The 20032-nt window shown below is 46.0% G+C and overlaps 1 protein-coding gene across 6 annotated transcripts in view, besides 4 other annotated features; it reads left to right on the plus strand.

Annotated features, from left to right (window-relative positions):
* Window positions 2781-3301: an enhancer, noted in NCBI's record as "H3K27ac hESC enhancer chrX:54556053-54556573 (GRCh37/hg19 assembly coordinates)". NCBI's record gives its function as "activates a minimal SCP1, AML or CMV promoter by ChIP-STARR-seq in naive and primed H9 embryonic stem cells {active_cell/tissue: H9 hESC(naive and primed)}" and the evidence as "EXISTENCE:reporter gene assay evidence [ECO:0000049][PMID:30033119]".
* Window positions 2956-3005: an enhancer, noted in NCBI's record as "active region_29671". NCBI's record gives its function as "activates an Ori minimal core promoter by ATAC-STARR-seq in GM12878 lymphoblastoid cells {active_cell/tissue: GM12878}" and the evidence as "EXISTENCE:reporter gene assay evidence [ECO:0000049][PMID:35858748]".
* The window catches only part of GNL3L (G protein nucleolar 3 like), a 115636-nt gene continuing 98983 nt past the window's right edge, over window positions 3380-20032 (plus strand). For 3 of the 6 annotated variants that reach the window (XR_007068190.1, XM_047442190.1, NM_001184819.2), the window contains exons 1-8: window positions 3380-3580; window positions 5681-5746; window positions 12201-12262; window positions 13296-13403; window positions 14434-14550; window positions 16116-16199; window positions 16368-16503; window positions 17384-17487. Coding sequence is in view for 4 of the 6 variants with exons in the window: in XM_047442190.1 (XP_047298146.1) it covers window positions 5728-5746; window positions 12201-12262; window positions 13296-13403; window positions 14434-14550; window positions 16116-16199; window positions 16368-16503; window positions 17384-17487 (630 nt within the window). In the remaining 2 variants the exon portion in view is untranslated. The remainder of the gene's footprint in view (window positions 3581-5680; window positions 5747-12200; window positions 12263-13295; window positions 13404-14433; window positions 14551-16115; window positions 16200-16367; window positions 16504-17383; window positions 17488-20032) is intronic. The other 3 variants (XR_007068191.1, XM_047442189.1, NM_019067.6) reach the window with 1 other exon arrangement.
* Window positions 3456-3515: an enhancer, noted in NCBI's record as "active region_29672". NCBI's record gives its function as "activates an Ori minimal core promoter by ATAC-STARR-seq in GM12878 lymphoblastoid cells {active_cell/tissue: GM12878}" and the evidence as "EXISTENCE:reporter gene assay evidence [ECO:0000049][PMID:35858748]".
* Window positions 3526-3785: an enhancer, noted in NCBI's record as "active region_29673". NCBI's record gives its function as "activates an Ori minimal core promoter by ATAC-STARR-seq in GM12878 lymphoblastoid cells {active_cell/tissue: GM12878}" and the evidence as "EXISTENCE:reporter gene assay evidence [ECO:0000049][PMID:35858748]".

Here is a 20032-nt window from a genome sequence, read left to right on the forward strand (position 1 = left end):
TTAAGGCGCCTGCCACCACACCCAGCTAATTTTTTGTATTTTTCTTTTTGGTAGAGACAGGGTTTCACCATGTTGGCCAGGCTGGTCTCGAACTCCTGACCTCAGGTGATCCGCCTGCCTTGGCCTCCCAAAGTGCTGGGATTACAGGTGTGAGCCACAGTGCCCAGCCGAGACCAGTAAAAACATCTTTAAAAATTAGCTGGGCATGGTGATGTGCGCCTGTAGTTCCCCAGCTACTCGGGAGGGTGAGGTGGGAGGATCCCTTGAGCCCAGGAGGTGGAGGTTGCAGTGAGTGGAGGTCATGCCACTGCACTCCAGTCTGGGCGATAGAGCAAGACCCTGGCTCAAAAAAAAAAAAAAAAAAAAAGGAGGAAATACACATAAAGCAATAATACGTATTTTCCAAGAATGCATATATGCAAAAATATGCATAAAACACCTTTGAATGGCTGCCTATAGGAGGGAAATGAAAGTGGGAAGTAGAGATGAAAGAGATTTTAAAAAATAACACAATCTCTCACTAAAGTAATAAATATTCATCAAATACATGGAAAACACAGAAAAGTACAAGGAAGAAAATTAAATTCACTGATAATGTCACTTTGATTTGTTAGAAATGCAAATCCTGGGCCCTAAACCAGACTTACTGAATCAAAACTCTGGGCATGAGGCCCAGTAATTGGTGTTCTAACAAGCCCTCCCAGTGATTCTGATGCTGGGGAAAGTTAGAGAACCACTAATCTAGATTTAACTATTATTAACATTTTGTTTCAGATCCTTGTAGTCTTTTAAAAAATATGAAATATTTCGGACATACAAATAAGTATAGAGAAGATAACAAAAACCCACGTACCTACCACCTAGCTTAGAAAGTAAAATATTAGACAAACAGTTGAAGTTCCCTGTGTATCTCTCTCTCATTCTGTTCTTTTGTTTTCTTCCCCAGAGGTAATCAGTATTCTGGATTTGGTATTTCTCCTTAAAAATTATTGTTGGCTGGGGGCGGTGGCTCACACCTGGAATCCCAGCACCTTGGGAGGCCAAGATGTGGTTGGATCACTTGAGCTCAGGAACTCAAGATTAGCCTGGGCAACATGGTGAAACCCTGTCTCTACAAAAAATACAAAAATTAGCCAGGTGTGGTGGTACATGCCTGTAGTCCAGGTACTTGGGAGGCTGAGGTGGGAGGATGGCTTGAGTCAGGGAGGTGGAGGCTGCAGGGAGAGGAAATCAAGCCACTGCACTGCAGCCTGGACGACAGAGCAACATCTTGTCTGAAAAAAAAATTATTGTTTATATATCTATATAATCTATAAGCAACATTGTTTGCTGTTTTCTAGATTTTAAAACTTTATATAAATGGTTTCATACTTTATGTGTCCTCTGCAATTTGTATTTTATCTCAGTATTGTGTTTTTGAAATTTAGCTGGGTCAATGCATGCAACATGATTCATTCTTTTTCATTATAGTATTCTGCATAGTATTCTGTCATATGGCTATACCATAATTTACTTATTCATTCTCCTGTTGGTGGAATTTTGGGCTGTTCACATTTTTTTCTCTATTACAAACAGTTCTGCAATGAACATTCTTCCACATGCTCATTGAGCAAGTGTATAAGAATTTCTCTAGGAGTTAAAGTTTAGAGGTGATCTCTATCTATCTATCTACCTATTAATCAATCATCTCCAATACTAGAACTGCTGGGTCCCAGGGTCATCTTCAGCTATTCTGGATACTTCCTAATTGTTTTCCAAAGTCGTAATAACTAGTTTCCACAAGATTTCATTGTATTTTTTCCCTTATATCTTGTGCATTTGGGATTTTGTTTAAAAAGTCCTTCCCCAGTCACAAGTCACAAAGATATTCTCCTGCATATATTAACTTCATAGTTTTACCTTTCACATTCACAGTCTACCCTCTTAGGTGGAATAAATAGAGATCCAGTTTTATATTTCTTTTCATGGAGAGCCAAATTTCCCAATGCCATCTACTAAACAGCCCATTTCCCATTTTTTGTGGTGCAGGCCTGTAAACTCACCCATTTAACAAACAGTTGTTGAAGCCTGCCTCATACCAGTCTTGTGCTGGGTGTTGTTGAAAGCTTGAAGATACATGGCCCCTGCTCTCAGGGAGTTCACCCTCCTGTGGAGACACAGTCACATAAACAACTACAGTATTGTGATAAGTGCTAGCTTAGCTGTATAGGTAAGGTGCTCTGGGTTTCTAACTCATCTGCGAAAGTCAGAGAAGGTTTCATCGAAGTGACAAGAGTTAGGTCTTAGAGAAACAGAGCAAAATTGCAAATGCAGGGGGAAAGGTGAAAGTGGTCAGGGCTGGTTTCAGGTCCAGAGGAATTTCATGTGTCTCTAGGATGAGAGGTTAGAAGCCCTCCAACGATGTAGAGAGGTAGTGAGTCCTGTTTATGTAAGGGATAAAGGGACAGATGGAGTCATTTTCAGCCCGTCTGTGCTTGAAGTGGAGAAACAAACCCACCCTCGGAGGCACAGAGTTCCACCTACTCTGTGCCCCACCCCAGGGTTTAGGCTTGAGGAAGAGGAGGGGCTGGAATTAAACCATCAAGAAGAAAACATTTGCAGACTAATATTTACTATTTTGTGGGGGAGACCTCACTTCCCAGCCAGCTCCTTGAGATGGCTTCAGAAACCCCTACTTGCCCCACTCCAGAGATATAAATTCATTCCCTTCTGCAGACGCTGCTCCGGGATTGAGGGAAGGATGGAGTAGGAGGGGAAGAAGGCAAAAGGGTGGGAGAGGCTTCTAGTGTGGGAGAGGCTTCTAGTCGTTCTGGCTCCTGCTCCAGCTCGGGTTGGGTATGGCCATAGATCTGAACGTATGCAGAAAAAGCTAGGAGTGCTCAGGGATGGTCTGGGGCTCAAGGACCCGGGAAGGTGGTTGGGAATAGCTAACCAATTCACTTCAGGTGGGGAAATACTCGGCCAGACACGTGACCCAGGCGGCCATTTTCTCACACCCTGCTGTCGCCATCTTCCAGGCAGACAAAGACACCATCCCCCACCCTTGTCTGATTCGGGCGTGGTGACTGCCTGGTTATTGAGATTTGGGAGCACGCATATTTAACCCCAGACAGATGCCCGCAGACAAAATTTTGGCTTGCAAGTAAGGTATATGGCCGCACCAGTCGACCCGCCGCTTCTTCCCGGTCATTTCCCCGTCCTCCTTCTCCCTCCTCCGCTATTTCCTTAACTACGGGGCAGGCAGGAGGCGGGGCCAGCGTGGTCGCGAAGAAGGGACGGGCGGGCGTGAGCTGTCAGTCAGAAGCTCCGCCCCCCCCCCCCCCCCCCCGCGGAGACCGCACGGTGGGCGGAGTCGGGCGCCGCCGGCCTGGGATCCGGAAGTCGGAGCCTAGCTGCGCGAGAGTTTCTGCTCGCTCAACCGAGTTGTCGTGTTGCCCTCGCTTCTCAGATCCCCGCCGGAAGTGTAAGTAAGAAACTTCTCTCCTCTTTTCTCACAATGTGCGCTCACCTAGACGGCCGGGCAGTTAGGATCGTCTATTGGATGTGAAACCAGAGATGCCCGCCAACCTGGAATAGAGAGGTAAACAGCAGGATCCCTTCCAGGGTAGAAGGGACCGGAAGAGGGGCAGGGATCGCGGCACACGTGGAGACGCGCCGAATTGCCTTTTCGCGGAGTGGAGTTTGCCGGGAGAGGGGCATTGCCCCATCCCACCTAGAAAGGTGTAGACCCGGGACACACTGTGTAGAGAGGCACAAACTTCACTTGTGTGGTGAAGCGTTGATCGTCCTCAAGATAGTGAGGCTTCATTCTGCATTCACCTTGTATAGACAGGAGTCGACCCACCAAAGGCATGGGGGACATCCACCCCAACCGTGTAGAGACATCTCCCTCCACCCAGCTGAGCAGCGCAGACTTCTCCCGACTTAAGGCACTTCCTTGGCTTGGCTCTAGACAGCCGTCTCGAGGCACCTCCTCAGGACAGACAGAGGCTTTGATGTATCTGCCCCCATACCAGCATAGAGGAGCTTAGAAACATTTAATATACAGAGGGAGGGCACCTCCTCCCCATACGCGTAGACTCAGAGCCCTCAGTATCGCTCCCCAACTCACCCGTCCCCAAAGTGGTTGCAGTTACAGGCCTCAGCTTATGGACAACTAAGCCAATTGCCCCCTCCTCTTAGGTTAGAGTGAGTCCCCATTGTGGAGAATCAGACCTGATCCCTACTTCCGTAGCCCCCGTTTTACCGAATGTGTAATTTTTCGAAGCACCCAACATGCTTCGAAGCAAACAGGAACAGACCTTAATCCATGAAGAGACAGTCAGGTCTGCCCCTTGAGGGGCCGTGGGGGTAGAGGGGCTCAGATGTGTTCCTCTCCCTTTGAGGTAGACACAGATCATCCCCCTACCTCCCCCTACCTCCCCCAAAGATTTAGAATCACTAAATGTAGCAAGGGAGATACCCCACAGGAGCAGATATGCAGGTCTCCCTCCCTGTAATGTTGAGAGGGAGTGACATCGCTGATTACCTGGCAGTTCAGTGCGTATGGTCTCTCCCCTTTACCCAAGGTAGTGGAGCTCAGATCTGTTTCTCTCCACCCAGGGTAGAATCACAGACGCCCCCACCCCCAAGTATTAGGGCTGATCTATTAATTTATAGCTGCATTGCCAGCCCCCTCCACACACCACCCATGCAGAGAACCAGAGCCCCTATTTCTTTCAGTGTTAGTGTGCCGCTGACTTCAACCAGCATAAAAGATGAAAGTTGTCACAGTCCACCTTCCATAGAAGGGTCCAGAATAGCTCACTGCAGGTAAGGTGCAGACCCGCTTATTCAAAGCTGCATAGTTGTGGAATCAGGCATATCGATCCTGTACCACAGCCCTCTCCAGGGTGAAGAGACGCAGGACCCATCCCCACAATCTAGAGATAAACAGATCTGTGATTCTTTCCCCATGCAGCAGAGATGCACACAGCCACTTTGTGGGTTTCCCCAGTTTCTCTGCACCCCAGAGTAGAGGGACAGATGGCAATCCCCCCAACCCAAATCACCAAGGTATAGACCCCAGGCATATGCAGGCACAGATTTTTACCCCCTCCTCCAAGATTTTGTACTTATCTCAATCCATATAGACACTCAGGTAAGAATCCCTGTTCTCAGGCCCCTTTTCCCCAGGGTAGACTCCTGAGATCTATTTACGCCCTTCCCCACCACCTCTCCCAGGGTAGATGAGATATAGAATCCCCTACTTGGGAAAAGAGGCACTATTATCACCCCATATAGAAATAGACCATCCTTGCATGTCCCTTTCCCCTCAGTGTGGAGGTGTTGAGCACTAGTCCCCTACCTAGAATATAACACTACAGTGTGGAGGAATAAGGACCAAAGACCCCATCTGACCCCATTTGACCCCACTGGGCTCAAAGCCCAGTGGCTTTGAGCCACTGACTCCACCCCGGATGAGGTTGAGACCTATTCCTCCCTTTGGGTAGTATGACACTGCCTTCTCTGTGTGGACTCAGCCATATGAGGCTTTAGCTCCAGCTTCTCCCAGTTTTCCTAATTATTACGCCTTCCTCATAATGTTCTTTAACATTTTACCTTTAGGGGACTTAGGAGGGGGCTTGTGGCATTGTGATTCCCAGCTGTCTTCAAATTGCTTCTTCTCCCATTCTGACAGGAAGAGAGCAAGCAGATTTGAACCTATCTGCTTTCAAGCTGGTCATCATGATGAAACTTAGACACAGTGAGTTTCCTTTACCACCCCTCCCAATCCTGTGCTTTTAATGAATATTCATAGAATTTCACAGCAACTTTTTGTTTTTTTGGTTTTTGTTTTGAGATGGAGTCTCGCTCTGTCACCTAGGCTGGAGTGCAGTGGTGCAATCTCAGTTCACTGCAACCTCCGCCTCCCGGTTTCAAGCATTTCCTGCCTCAGCCTACCGAGTAGCTGGGATTATAGGTGTGTGCCACCATGCCAGGCTACTTTTTGTATTTTTAGTAGAGACGGAGTTTCACCATGTTGGCCAGGCTGGTCTCGAACTCCTGACCGCAAGTCATCTGCCTACGTCGGCCTCCCAAAGTGCTGGGATTACAGGCATGAGCCACTGCGCCCAGCCTTCACAGCAACTTTTAAAAACTGTTGAATATGTTTCACATCACTCAGTCTGGATCTTTTTCATATGGTATCATTGCTGTCCTCCTGACTTCCTTGTAAGAGAATGTTTCCATTATGCCCCATTCTCAATTTACAGATGAGGAAACTGAAGCTTAGCAAGGTTAAGTGACTTGATCTGAGGTGAATTGCGATAAAAACATATCACACTGCCTGTAACCCCGACATGTCCTAACATTTTTCTCTATCAGTTGGTACCATAAGTTGTACTAGTGATTAAGAGCGTGCCTGTAATGCCAGCTGCTTGGGAGGCTGAGGCAGGAGAATCGCTTGAGCCTGGGAAGCAGAGGTTGTGGTGAGCCAAGATCATGCCACTGCACTCCAGTCTGGGCGACAGAGTGAGACGCTGTCTCAAAAAAAAAAAAAAGGAATAAAACAAAACAAAAAAAGAAAAGAAAATGATAACATTTGGATAGCACACTGGCACTGGGCAGGCTGGATGAGGATTGTGCTCTGTTTTCTGTGTGAATGCTGGCCCTGCCAGTGGACAGCTTGGTGGGAAAAAAATACATTTTTTATATAATCATAAAAATGTCATCAAGAATCATACTGTTAATACCAAAAGCAAATAATCATACTTTTATTTTATTTTTTATGTTTTTTTGAGATGGACTCTTGCTTTGTTACCAGTAGAGACGGGGTTTTGCCATGTTGGCCAGTCTGGTCTTGAACTCCTGACCTCAAGTGATCCGCCTGCCTTGGCCTCCCAAAGTGCTGGAATTGCAGGCGTGAACCACCATGCCCGACCAAATAATCATATTTATAAGTAACACAAGAAAGGTGGTAATTATACTTTATTTAGGAACATCTAATACTAGATGATAGAAATATTGATAGTGATGGAAAAGACAAAAATTACCTCGTTAAATAAAGTAGGATATATGCATACTTAAGAATTCTGGCTGTTTAAAAGATAAAGTAGTATCATATAGAAAGATTATATGGAAAAACTGTATTGTGTGGAAAGACTATTAGATGGAAAGATCTTCAGATTTGCTAACTGAAAGCAGGCATTTGCCACTATGCCCCACTAATTTTTTTTTTCAATAGAGATGAGGGTCTTTCTATGTTGTCCAGGCTGGGCTTGAACTGCTGAGCTCAAACAATCCTCCCATCTTGGCTTCCCAAAGTGCTGGGATTACAGGCGTGAGCTACCACACCTGGTTTTTTTTTTTTTTCTTTTTAACAAGAGGGAAAAATAGTCTCAGCTTGGCACTGGTGAGTCTGGAGGGCTACGTTCTCTACCTACTGACCCCCGGATAAACGTGTGGCAGTGAAAACAACAACCACCTTTTGAGAGGCCTGCAAGTGAAGCATTGTCCTTGGGAGAGCCAAGTATCAAGGCAGGAGCTTGGACAATTGATCCCAGGGAGAGGTTGTTAGGGGAGTGCTGATCACCCAGGTGGGAGTTTCAGAGAATGTTGTGGGAAATTTGATGCTACGGCAGAGGAAGGATGAGGGGAATGAAGTCAGTGGGTGTACAGGGACATCTGTGGGTGACAGTATGGGAGATGAGGGATTAGCGAATACAGAGATCTGCTTTTGAGTACTGATGAATTGGTGATTTTAGGCCTAGATGATATTGGTGGATGCATTGAGGCTCAGAGAGGTTTTAAAAAATTCTTCAAGGTCATATAGCTAGGTAGTTGTTGAGCCAGAGTAAGAATGTCTGCTGGTTATAAAATGGTAGCTGTTTTCTCTCTGGAGTTGTTGAAAAACCTATGAGCAGAGGCTCCTGAGTGCTGGGAGGGATGACTGACTGCACCCCCTTCTCCTTTTTCCCTCCCCCCTTCTCTTCTCCCCTCTGAAGCACATTCTTTTTCTCTCCAAGTGATGTGTTTTCTTTCACTGTGTGCTTGTATCCATTGCAGGCACTCAGTTTCCAGGGAAGTTAGGCAGATGGAAATTGTTGAGTGAAATGTCCAGACCTGGTTCATTCCAAACCTCACATTTTTTTTGTTGTTGTTGTTGCAACATGAGTACTTTAGAAGAAAGGAGACTGGTGGTCTGTTTCGTGTTTATTTAAACTGTGTTTATTTAAATTCGACCCATTCACATTTGTTATGAGACGTTTATGTCTGGTCAGATTTCTACCGTCTTATTTTTTATTTATTTATTTTTTGAGATGCAGTCTCGCCCTGTCACCCGGGCTGGAGTGCAATGGCGCGATCTCAGCTCACTGCAACCTCCGCCTCCTGGGTTCAAGCGATTCTCTTGCCTCAGCCTCCCGAGTAGTTGGGATTACAGGTGCCTGCCACCATGCCCAGCTAATTTTTGTATTTTTAGTGGAGACAGGGTTTCACCATGTTGGCCAGGCTGGTCTCGAACTCCTGACCTAGTGATCCGCCCACCTCAGCCTCCCAAAGTGCTGGGATTACAGGTGTGAGCCACCGTGCACGGCTCTCTACCATCTTATTTTATATTTATTATTTATTTTGTTTCCTCTTATTCCCTTATTTATGTTTTGCTAACTTGATGAAGTTTTTAAACAATCCTCCATCGGTAATTAAGTTATGTTGGTAATTGTATTCATATTTATATCAAACATAATTAATTCTGTATTTATCACTTTACCAAAGTTAAATAATGACTATTTTGTAACCTACCCTTTCAAAATGAAACCTTTAGCATGCTTTCATGCTTTTGCTTTTCCAACCCCCATTACTTGATTCCTGGATTTTATTGAAATAATTTGGTATTTCAGTTCTGAGCTATTTCCTTATGATATGCTTCTTCGATTTTAAGAATCCTTTTTTTGTTGTTTTTTTGAGACAGGGTCTCACTCTGTCGGCCAGGCTAGAGTGCAGGTGTGATCATGGCTCACCACAACCTCCGCCTCCTGGGCTCAAGTGATCTTCCTGCCTCAGCCTCCTGAGTAGCTGGGACAACAAACATGTGCCATCACACCTGGCTAATTTTTTTTTTTTTTTGAGACAAGAGTCTTGCTGTGTTGCCCAGGCTGGAGTGCAGTGGTGCGATCTTGGCTCACTGCAACCTCCACCTCCTGGGTTCAAGCAATTTTCCTGCCTCAGCCTCTCGAGTAGCTGGGATTACAGGTGCGTGCCAACACGCCCGGCTAATTTTTGTATTTTTAGTAGAGACGGGGTTTCACCATGTTGGGCAGGCTGGTCTCAAACTCCTGACCTCAAGTCAGGCATCCGGCTAATTTTTGTATTTTTAGTAGAGACGGGGTTTCACCATGTTGGGCAGGCTGGTCTCAAACTCCTAATTTTTGTATTTTTAGTAGAGATGGGGTTTCACCATGTTGGCCAGGCTGGTCTTGAACTTCTGACCTCAAGTGATCCACCCGCCTTGGCCTCCCAAAGTGCAGGGATTATAGCTGTGAGCCATCGCTCCTGGCCTCAGTGATAAGTTTTAGTAGATTTCCGTAGATTTCCTGCCCACCACTGTTTGTTTCCTTTAGCTTGGGATCTTTATTCTGATTTAATTTTTATTTTGCCAGTAGTTTTATCCAAAAGGAAACACAGGGCCAGGCGTGGTGGCTCATGCCTGTAATCCCAGCACTTTGGGAGGCCAAGGCGAGCCAATGACTTGAGGCCAGGAGTTTGAGACCAGCCTGGCCAACATGGCGAAACCCCGTCTCTACTAAAAATAAAAAAATTAGCCAGGCACAGTGGTGCACGCCTGTAATCCCAGCTACTCCAGAGGCTGAGGCAGGAGATTTCCTTGAACCTGGGAGGTGGAGGTTGTAGTGAGCTCAGGTGGCACCACTGCACTCCAGCCTGGGCAACAGAGCGAGACTTTGTCTCAAAAAAAAAAAAAAACAGAGAGAGAGAGGGAGGGAGGGAGGGAGAGACGAAAGAAAGGAAGGAAGGAAAGGAAAGAAAGGAAAGAAAGAAAGGCAAGTGGTAATCTTTGCTCACCTGAAAATGTCTTTTTCTTACTTTCACAAAGTAAGAGTGATCTGTTGGTTAGAATTTTATCTCTTTATCTTTAGAGTTCAGAAATTTCATCAGGATATGTCCAGGGTATGTCTTTTTGGTTGTTAATCTTTTTTTTTTTTTTTTTTGAGACAGGGTCTCTGTTGTCCAGGCTGGAGTGCAATGGTGCCATCATAGCTCATTATAACTTTGAATTCCTGGGATCAACCAGTCCTCCCGCCTCAGCTTCCTGAGAGCTAGGACTACAGGTGCATGCCGCCACACCTGGTTAATTAAACTTTTTTTTTTATATAGACAAGGTCTCACTATGTTGCCTGGATTAGTCGCAAACTCCTAGTGTCAAGCGATCCTCCCACCTCAGCCTCCCAAAATGCTGGGATGACAGGGTGAGCCATGGCACCCGGCCTTGGTTGTTAATCTTGCTGCTGCCTGTGTCTTTCCAGTCTGAAACCTCAAGCCTATGTTCAACTTAAGGAACTTTCGTCTGTTATTCAGAAAATTATTGCTTCTCCATTTGTACCCTTTTCTCTTTCAGGAACTCCTGTTTAGATTTTAGCTGTCTTGGCTCTATTGTCCATTTTTTCTTTTATATTTTTGCTCATCATTTCAATTTCTTTGAATTTTTGCTCTAAGTAAGCCCCTCCTTTGGTCTTCTAGCTTATTAATTTGGTTGTTAGTGATGTCTTTTTTGTTTTTCACTATTTCTATTGAATTTTTTTAAGAGACAGAGTCTCACTATGTTGCCTAGGCTGTTCTCGAACTCCTAGGGTCAAGTGATCCTCTTGCCTCAGCCTCCCAGCTAGCAACAGGCAGGTGCTACTGTGCCCAGCTTAAGTTTTGACTGTTAAAGCAGTCTGTGTTTGTGTATTTTTTTAAGAGATGGGGTCTTGCTTTGTTGCCCAGGCTGGATTAGAACTCCTGGGCTCAAGGGATCCTCCTACCTTAACCTCTCATGTAGCTGGGGCTACAAGCATGCACCACGGCACCCAGCTTTTGAATTTTTATTCAGTGTCAAGTTTTGGAAAATCTTTTTTTCTCACACAGTTCCTTTGAAGTATCTTCTTGATTCTCCTTAAGAATTTGCAGTAGCTCGAGACTAGCCTGGCTAAATGGCAAAACCCCATCTCTACTAAAAATACAAAAATTTGTATTTTTGTATACGAATACGGGAGGCTGAGGCAGGAGAATCGCTTGAACCCGGGAGGCAGAAGTTGCAGTGAGCCCAGATCACACCACTGCACTCCATCCTGGGCAATAGAGCAAGAGTCGGTCTCAAAATAAAAAGAATTTGCAGTAGAACTTAAGTTCTGTTTCGTACCTTAACTCTGCAGTGGGAGCCAACTGATGTGATTGTGGAGCCTGTTCTCTGTGTGGTATTCTCGAGCTGCTCATATAATATATTTGTTTGTATATATCCTGAGCTTCCAGAAACTCCTGTCTCTCTAGGAATTCCTTGAGCCCCTATGAAGGTGGTAAGAATTAAAGGGAGCCATTCTTCCCAATAGGCCAACTGTGAACGGGTTGAGAGATGGGACTTCTTATTGAAGAAGGGGAGAGGCCTCATAAGTTCTTGGGCTTTGCTAAGTCATGATTGGAGAAGTGGTAGATCTCTTCTTTTTGTATCTGAGGGAGGCGGCAGCATTTTGGCTGAGTAGGTCAAGTCCCTTTGGAGGCAATGGCCTGAGCAGGGTCAGCAGGAAGGATGGTTCTTTCCCCACATACTGAGGGCATCTGCCCAGGTTTAGTGGGCTGGGACTCCTTAGATTACCTTCTCATTCTGCCAGCTCCCTCATCTCAGCCTGGCACTTAAATTGTTGAGTTTCCCCCAGTAGGAAGTTCTGGGGGAAAGAGGAGTCACAAGCACATATTCAGGTTTCTCTCTGTACAGAATTCCTCTCAGAATTATTTGAGTTTGCAGTGAAATAATGTGCAAATATTATATCCAGTACTTCCTCTGATACTATTGCTGCCATCCGCATCTCTTGTCTTGTGCTGGATCTAGACAGACATGGTATCTGAGGCTTCCTAGCTAGGTTCCCAGTGTGGCCTGGCCTTGATTCAGATGTCAACAAATATCGTGTAGATGGATGACGGCTCTTTTCTTTCTTTTTTTTCTTTTGTAGAAAATAAAAAGCCAGGTGAAGGTTCCAAGGGCCACAAGAAGATAAGTTGGCCCTACCCTCAGGTAAGGTATGCCTGTTGTTGAGGGTAAGGTCAAGAACAGGTTGCTTGTCCTGGGAGAGGCCCACTAAACCCAGTAAATATTGGGTGACTCTGGACAGAGTGCCACATTGGAGTCAGTGGATCTGGCTTTCCCTCCTTCTCTGGGTGGCCGCAGCAGAGAATCAGCAGCATTTTTCCCAAGTCATATGCAGCTTCGTGCTTGATTTACCTTGGTAGGGATTATCATTATCCCCATGTTTTAGTTGAGGAAACTGTCAGTGAGAAAGTTCCTAGGTTCAAGGTAACGCAACTGGGATTTGAGACTGTCTGATTCTCAAGTCCCTGTTTCTTATGGAGAAGAGGGAGGCCAAAACATCATCTTTGGTTCCTGGATCTCCTGGTCCTGCTGGGAAAGGTGTGGGTAAGTAAGGCTTGGGAAAGAGCAATGAGAAGAAGGTATAGGCCAGAGAAGGCTTGGGTTCTCACAATTTAGCATGGGTGAAGCTCTCAAACTTTAACCAGTCCTCTAGAATCACCTGGAGGATGGGGGAAAACATCGATTGCTGGGCCCCACCTCAGAGTTTCTGATTCAGTAGGTCTGGCATGGCATCCCATGATTTGTATTTCTAGCAAGTTCCCAGGTGCTGCTGCTACTGCTGGTCTGAGGACCACTCTTTTGAGAGTCACTTATCTAGAAAGGTTTTCCCTGGGCCTTGGGAAACCTTCCCAGCTGCCCTTCCCCTCTGAGAGGTCTCCTGTCAGTCCCTGCCTAGCTATAGGAGAGAGGACCTCTACCCAGCCAGATGGGCAGATCTTTGGGGATGGAGCCCTTTTTGCTTCTCTCCTTTCTTTGTCCCCACAACTACACTTATCTGAGAAGCTTTAACTCCTGCTGCTCACCTTGGGAGTGAGGGGATGAGAGGATGAGAGGATTGAGAGATAGAAGGGGCATTTATGAGGGGATGTTGTCTTCCTTCTAGGGCTTCTTGCTGCCTTTTTGAGGTGATTTCCATGGGTTCATTACCTCTGTTTTTTTTCTCTTATGTGGTGGCCAGCCTGCAAAGCAAAATGGGAAGAAAGCAACCTCCAAAGTGCCCTCTGCACCTCATTTTGTTCACCCCAATGATCATGCCAATCGAGAGGCTGAATTAAAGAAGAAGTGGGTAAGCTTTTTGCCTTGGTGGGGAGAGAGAGGGCCTGCCTTGAATGCCAGGTCCGCAGAAGTGTTGAATGGAAGGGCAAAGGCAAGAGTTGTTAGGGTTGTTGAGGCTATTTGTGGAAGCCGGGAGAGAGGGAGGTTACCATGATACTGGATTTATGTCTGCGTTTGTTCACCACCCAGTCCATTGCTGTCTGGCTTATGCTTCCACTGCTCTGCTGACACTGCCCCTGCTGGCCTCATCAGCGCCTTCCCTGACATCACATTCATGAATAGTATTCTTCCCTCATCTTATTGGAATGCTCAGCATTTGAGGCTATGCTTTCTTTGAAGCATGTGGACTTTCTTGTCATCTCACTCTCCTGGATGTCTTTCTTCTTTGACTAGCCACTGACAGTCTCTTTTGCCACTTTTTCCCCTTTCTTATCTTTTTTTTTGAGATGGAATTTCACCTTGTTGTCCCGGCTGGAGTGCAGTGGTGTGATCTCGATTCACTGCAACCTCTACCTCCCGGGTTCAAGCGATTCTCCTGCCTCAGCCTCCTGAGTAGCTGGGATTACAGGCATGCACCACCACGCCCAGCTAATTTTGTATTTTTAGTAGAGATGGAGTTTCACCATGTTGGTCAGGCTGGTCTTGAACTCCTGACCTCAGGTGATCCACCTGCCTTGGCCTCCCAAAGTGTTGAGATTACAGGCGTGAGCCACCCTGCCCAGCCTTCTTCCTTATCTTTAAATGATGAAGCATCCCAGGACCTTGGCTTCTTTCCATCTCTGGTCTTAAGTGGTTCCGCCTGCCTAGGATACATTCTCTCTCTGCTTTTTATACCCTCTTTTCTCTGCAACTCTTTCCTTCCCTTCATCTCTCTTTTTCTTCTTCTCAAACCCTCATCTCCTGATGTCATATCTTCCCTCTCCCTGGACCCTGCTCCTGCCACCTCTGCCATGTCGCACCATTTCCTCTGTCTGTCACCCATCCCTCCCTTAGGCTGCAGACCCAGTCAGCTCCAGTACCAGTGTGTGTTCACTTGTTAGGTTGAGGAGATGAGGGAGAAGCAGCAAGCCGCCCGGGAGCAAGAAAGACAAAAACGCAGGACCATTGAGAGCTACTGTCAGGATGTCCTAAGACGCCAGGAGGAGTTTGAGCATAAGGTAAGAGTGCAGCCCTTGCCCCTGGGTAGGTTTGCTCAAAGCATCTTTTGCCGTTTTTCTGTGAAAGGGAAGAAGGTGTGAAGTTGTTGGAGGGGAACAAGGGAATCAGTGTAGAGAGGATAGAAAACCATGGGGACGGACGAAGGGAGGGAGGGAGGGATAAAGGGAGATAAAGGGCCATTTTGAGCCTTACCCGTGACTGGACACCTCTGGAGAGCTCCTCTCTCCCAAGGTTGAGCCTGAAGACTGGGGCTGGTGGCGGAGTTGGGGGCTGGGAGAGTTACATGTGACCAGGGGATGGGGTTGGGGGAGAGGGAGCGAAAGTATGAGGAGAGGATTGAGAGACAGAGAGGAGCATATGTGAGGGGATGTTGTCTTCCTTCTAGGGCTTCTTGCTGCCTTTTTGGCAGATGTTCTTGTTTCACACACAGAATACACGCTTGCCAGCTCATACTCCCTTTTCTGATATGCAGTGTGTATGCCTCCCCCATCCTGTGTCCCTCATAGATTGTTTTTTTCACACCTCCCTCCTCCATCCCTCCCTTTCACACCCATGTGCACACTCAGGTCTCCACCTGGTGCTCGAGCACACGTATACACATAGGCGCACACATGAACCATGGGGTTCTGTCCATTTTTCTTCCAGTTCCCAGCTTTATTGGTTGGTCAAAGCTACTTTTTGGTGGCCTGAGACTCACATGATTTATTTTTTAAATTATTATTTTACTTTAAGTTCTAGGGTACACGTGCACAACGTGCAGGTTTGTTACATATGTATCCATGTGCCATGTTGGTGTGCTGCACCCATTAACTTGTCATTTACATTAGGTATATCTCCTAATGCTATCCCTCCGCCCTCCCCCCACCCTACAACAGTCCCCGGTGTGTGATGTTCCCCTTCCTGTGTCCAAGTGTTCTCATTGTTCAATTCCCACCTATGAGTGAGAACATGGGGTGTTTGGTTTTTTTGTCCTTGAAATAGTTTGCTGAGAATGATGGTTTCCAGCTTCATCCATGTCCCTACAAAGGACATGAACTCATCATTTTTTATGGCTGCATAGTATTCCATTGTGTATATGTGCCACATTTTCTTAATCCAGTCTATCATTGTTGGACATTTGGGTTGGTTCCAAGTCTTTGCTATTGTGAATAGTGCCGCAATAAACATACGTGTGCATGTGTCTTTATAGTAACATGATTTATAATCCTTTGGGTATATACCCAGTAATGGGGTGGCTGGGTCAAATGATATTTCTAGTTCTAGATCCTTGAGGAATCGCCACACTGTCTTCCACAATGGTTGAACTAGTTTCCAGTCCCACCAACAGTGTAAAAGTGTTCCTATTTCTTCACATCCTCTCCAGCACCTGTTGTTTCCTGACTTTTTAATGATCGCCATTCTAACTGGTTTGAGATGGTATTTCATTGTGGTTTTGATTTGCATTTCTCTGATGGCCAGGACTCACATGATTTTTTAAGCCTCCTATAGTTTAAAAAGCCCTGCTTCTCTTTCTCGCTCTCTCCCCCTCCTCCCCTGGACCATTCTCTTTTTTTTTCTCCTTTAGGAGGAAGTTTTGCAGGAATTAAATATGTTTCCTCAGCTGGATGACGAGGCCACGAGGAAGGCTTATTACAAGGAGTTCCGTAAGGTACAGGGTTCCATTTCTTCAGGCTTTTGCGGGAGGGTTCCAGTCCAGCCCCTTTTCCTCTCCATTTCTGTTTTTTCCTGACTGAGATGGAGATTTTTGTTTCACAGGCCTGCATCACTGCTACCCTATCCTTTTCCTGCCCTCATCTCCTGGTCCTCTGCCCTGCAGGTGGTGGAATACTCTGATGTGATTCTGGAAGTCCTGGATGCCAGAGACCCATTAGGCTGCCGCTGCTTCCAAATGGAGGAGGCTGTCCTGCGAGCACAAGGCAACAAGAAGCTGGTCCTGGTCTTGAACAAGATTGGTGGGTGTTAGGCAGGATTGGGTGTGACAGGGAAGGTGGGCAGGCCATCTTTAACGTCTAGCTTGGACCAGACACTGAACCCAGCAACTCAGTGATACTCATAATAGTCATGCAAAGTAGAAATTTTTGTTCCGATTTTCAAAGCCTGTATCACAGAGTATGGTACAAGTTAGGTGTGGAATCCAAGCCTGTCTGCCTTTCAGTCCCCTGTTCTTGCCATTTTGAGCCTTCTCTGTTTTTGGACAACCCTGGAGAGTTCCTCCTCCCTCAACTCAAAGACTGGGGCAGAGGAGCACATGGGCTCAGGAGTCACTCATGTCTAGGGTTCAGCCTCCCACCTGTCCTGATTCTTTTCTCTGAGACACTGGATAAGTCATGCCACCTCCAAGAGCTCCTGTTTCTCTAGCTGTAAAATGGGCCATGGGTATCCCAACCTCACAGATTTGTTGTAAGAATTAATGATAAAATGCTTGGTACATGGTGGTCAGTACTTCACACATGATAGCCATTCTTTTTAGGGTTATCTTTGTCATTTGGCCCAACCTAGAATGATCCAGAGAGGGGATAGGAAACACAATATTTGGGGGGTCTCTGATGCTCCTGGCGCTGTTTTGGAAAGAGAACATTTGGGACCAGATAGCTAGTTTGTCCATTTTCCCTGAGGGAACAGAGGCCCCTTCAGGGAGGGCTAACGCATCCCGTAGACCAGACTATCCTTTCTAACTCCAACCTGCGGACTGGATGGGAATGACAGGGCCAGTTGAGAGACCTGTTGATGGTAGGTGGGCCTAGCTTTGGGTACGGGTGGAGGTGTCTTTGGAGGGAACCATGGAGGTGTTGTTCTGCTTACCAGCCCCATCTGTTCCTATATTTACCCCAGACCTGGTCCCCAAGGAGGTTGTGGAGAAATGGCTGGATTACCTTCGGAATGAGTTGCCAACCGTGGCTTTCAAGGCCAGTACCCAGCATCAGGTCAAAAACCTGGTAAGCCTGGGGCTAGGGTCATCTAGCCGCTTTCAGGGTAGTTTGGGGCCAGAGCTGGGAGGGTCGTGACTTGGACTGGGACCTCCAGCCCTTTAGTAATTGAACTGGGCCTTCAACTTTGAGCTTTTTGCTCCACCGAGTGACTTTTTTTTTTTTTTTTGAGATGGAGTTTCACTCTTATTGCCCAGGTTGGAATGCAATGGTGTGATCTCGGCTTACTGCAACCTCCACCTCCTGGGTTCAAATGATTCTCCTGCCTCAGCCTCCAAAGTAGCTGGGATTACATGCACGCGTCACCATGCCCTGCTAATTTTTGTAATTTTTTTATTTTTAGTAGAGATGGGTTTTGCCATGTTGACCAGGCTGGTCTCGAACTCCTGACTTCAGGTGATCCACCCACCTCGGCCTCCCAATGTGCTGGGATTATAGGCATAAGCCAACATGCCTGGCCAGTGACTTCTTAATATTAGTTTCACTTGACTTCTTCCTGTATTATCACTCTTCAGGAAGCATTTCTTTTTTTTCAGTTGTAAGGATAAAACATAATGTCTATAGGGAATTTGTAAAATACAGTTAACTACTTGTTTGTTTGTTTATTTATTTATTTGAGACAGAGTCTCACTCTGTTGCCCAGGCTGGAGTGCAATGGCATGATCTTGGCTTACTGCAACCGCTGCCCACCAAGTTCAAGCAATTCTCCTGCCTCAGCCTCCCAAGTAGCTGGGACTACAGGCATGTGCCACCATGCCTGGCTAATTTTTGTATTTTTAGTAGACACGGGGTTTCGCCGTGTTGGCCGGGCTGGTCTCAAGCTCCTGACCTCGGGTGATCCACCCGCCTTGGCCTCCCAAAGTGCTGGGATTACAGGCGTGAGCCACCACTCCCGGTCTAACTTTATTTTTTATTTTTTGAGACAGAGTCTCACTTTGTCACCCAGGCTAGAGTGCAGTGGCACCATCTCGGCTCACTGCAATCTCTGCTTCCTGGGTTCAAGTGATTCTTGTGCCTCAGCCTCTAGAGTAGCCAGGATTGTGGCTAAGTTTTGTGTTTTTTTTTTTTAGTAGAGATAGGGTTTCACCATGTTGGCCAGGCTGGTCTCGAACTCCTGACCTCAGGTGATCTACCAGCCTTGGCTTCCCAAAATGCTAGGATTATAGCTGTGAGCCACTGTGCACAACCAACTACTTGTTAACTTTAAAAAATACGTATACCTCCAATCATTTTTCTCTTTGAAACAAATCACAGTTCTTCCCAATTATATCATTAATAGAGAAATATGTATGGTTTGTAAAATATTAATACAGAAACTGATTGTTTCTGGGAGAAAAATTGGATACTAAGGGACATTTTTTTTCAATTTTGCATTGGATGTTAAACTTATTTAAAAATAAAGTAGAAAAAATAAAATTAACTACAGATAAAGCTTAAATACCCTTTCACCAGTCTCCCTAATTCTAGTCTCCTTTATTCATGCCCAGAGGTAACTACCATTGACAGTTTGGTGTGCATTCTTCCAGACTTTATTTATTTTAGATACAGATATTTAGGGTCTCAATTGGTCATCCAGGCCTCAGTGCAGTGGCGTGATGATAGCTCATTGCAGCCTCAAACTGCTGGGCTCAAGCCATCCTCCTGCCTCAGCCTCCTGAGTACCTTGGACTATAAGTGCATGCCACCATGCCAGGCTAATTTTTATCTTTTTTATTTTTGTAGAGATGGGGGGAGGGTCTTGCTTTGGTGCCCAGGCTGGTCTTGAACTCCTGGCCTCAAGTGACCCTCCCATCTCAGCCTTCCAAAGTGCGGAGATTACAGGCGTAAGCCACTGCACTCGGCCTTCTTCCAAATGTTATTCTGTGCTTTGGATATACATAGAAGTGTATATATAAAGAGGGAATACTGTTTGGAAGTATTATGTATATCATTCTGTGGCTTAGTTTTTTTTTTCTCTTGGACATCTTTCTATAGAGATGTGCCTTTTCGAGGCTGAATACAATTAGTTTCCAGTTTTTTATCGTTATAACCTGGGCTTCCACAAATACCCTTGTACATGTCTCCTTGGCACATGGGCAAGTGTGTGTTTGTAGGTGAGGTAGAGAAAGGGAGTGGCTGGGTCATAGCCTTTCTGCATTTTACCTTTACCTAGACACTGATGAATCACCCTCCGTGATGGCTGTACCAATTTATACTCCCACCAGTGGGGTAGATGAATGTGTGAGAGGCCTCTTTTCCTACACCCTTGGCAACATTTGATAGCATTAAACTTTTAAACCTTTCAGAAACATGATACCTTATTTACATTTTCTTGGCCTTTTTAAAATTTAAATTTAAATTTTTGTTGAGATGGAGTTTCACTCTTGTTGCCCAGGCCGGAGTGGGATGGCACGATCTCGGCTCACTGCAACTTCTGCCTCCTGGGTTCAAGTGATTCTCCTCCCTCAGCCTCCCGAGTAGCTGGGATGACAGGCATGTGCTACCACGTCTGGCTAATTTTGTATTTTTAGTAGAGACAGGGTTTCACCATGTTGGTCAGGCTGGTCTTGAACTC

Source organism: Homo sapiens, chromosome X (genome assembly GCF_000001405.40).
Source record: "Homo sapiens chromosome X, GRCh38.p14 Primary Assembly".
Taxonomy (NCBI): domain Eukaryota; kingdom Metazoa; phylum Chordata; class Mammalia; order Primates; family Hominidae; genus Homo; species Homo sapiens.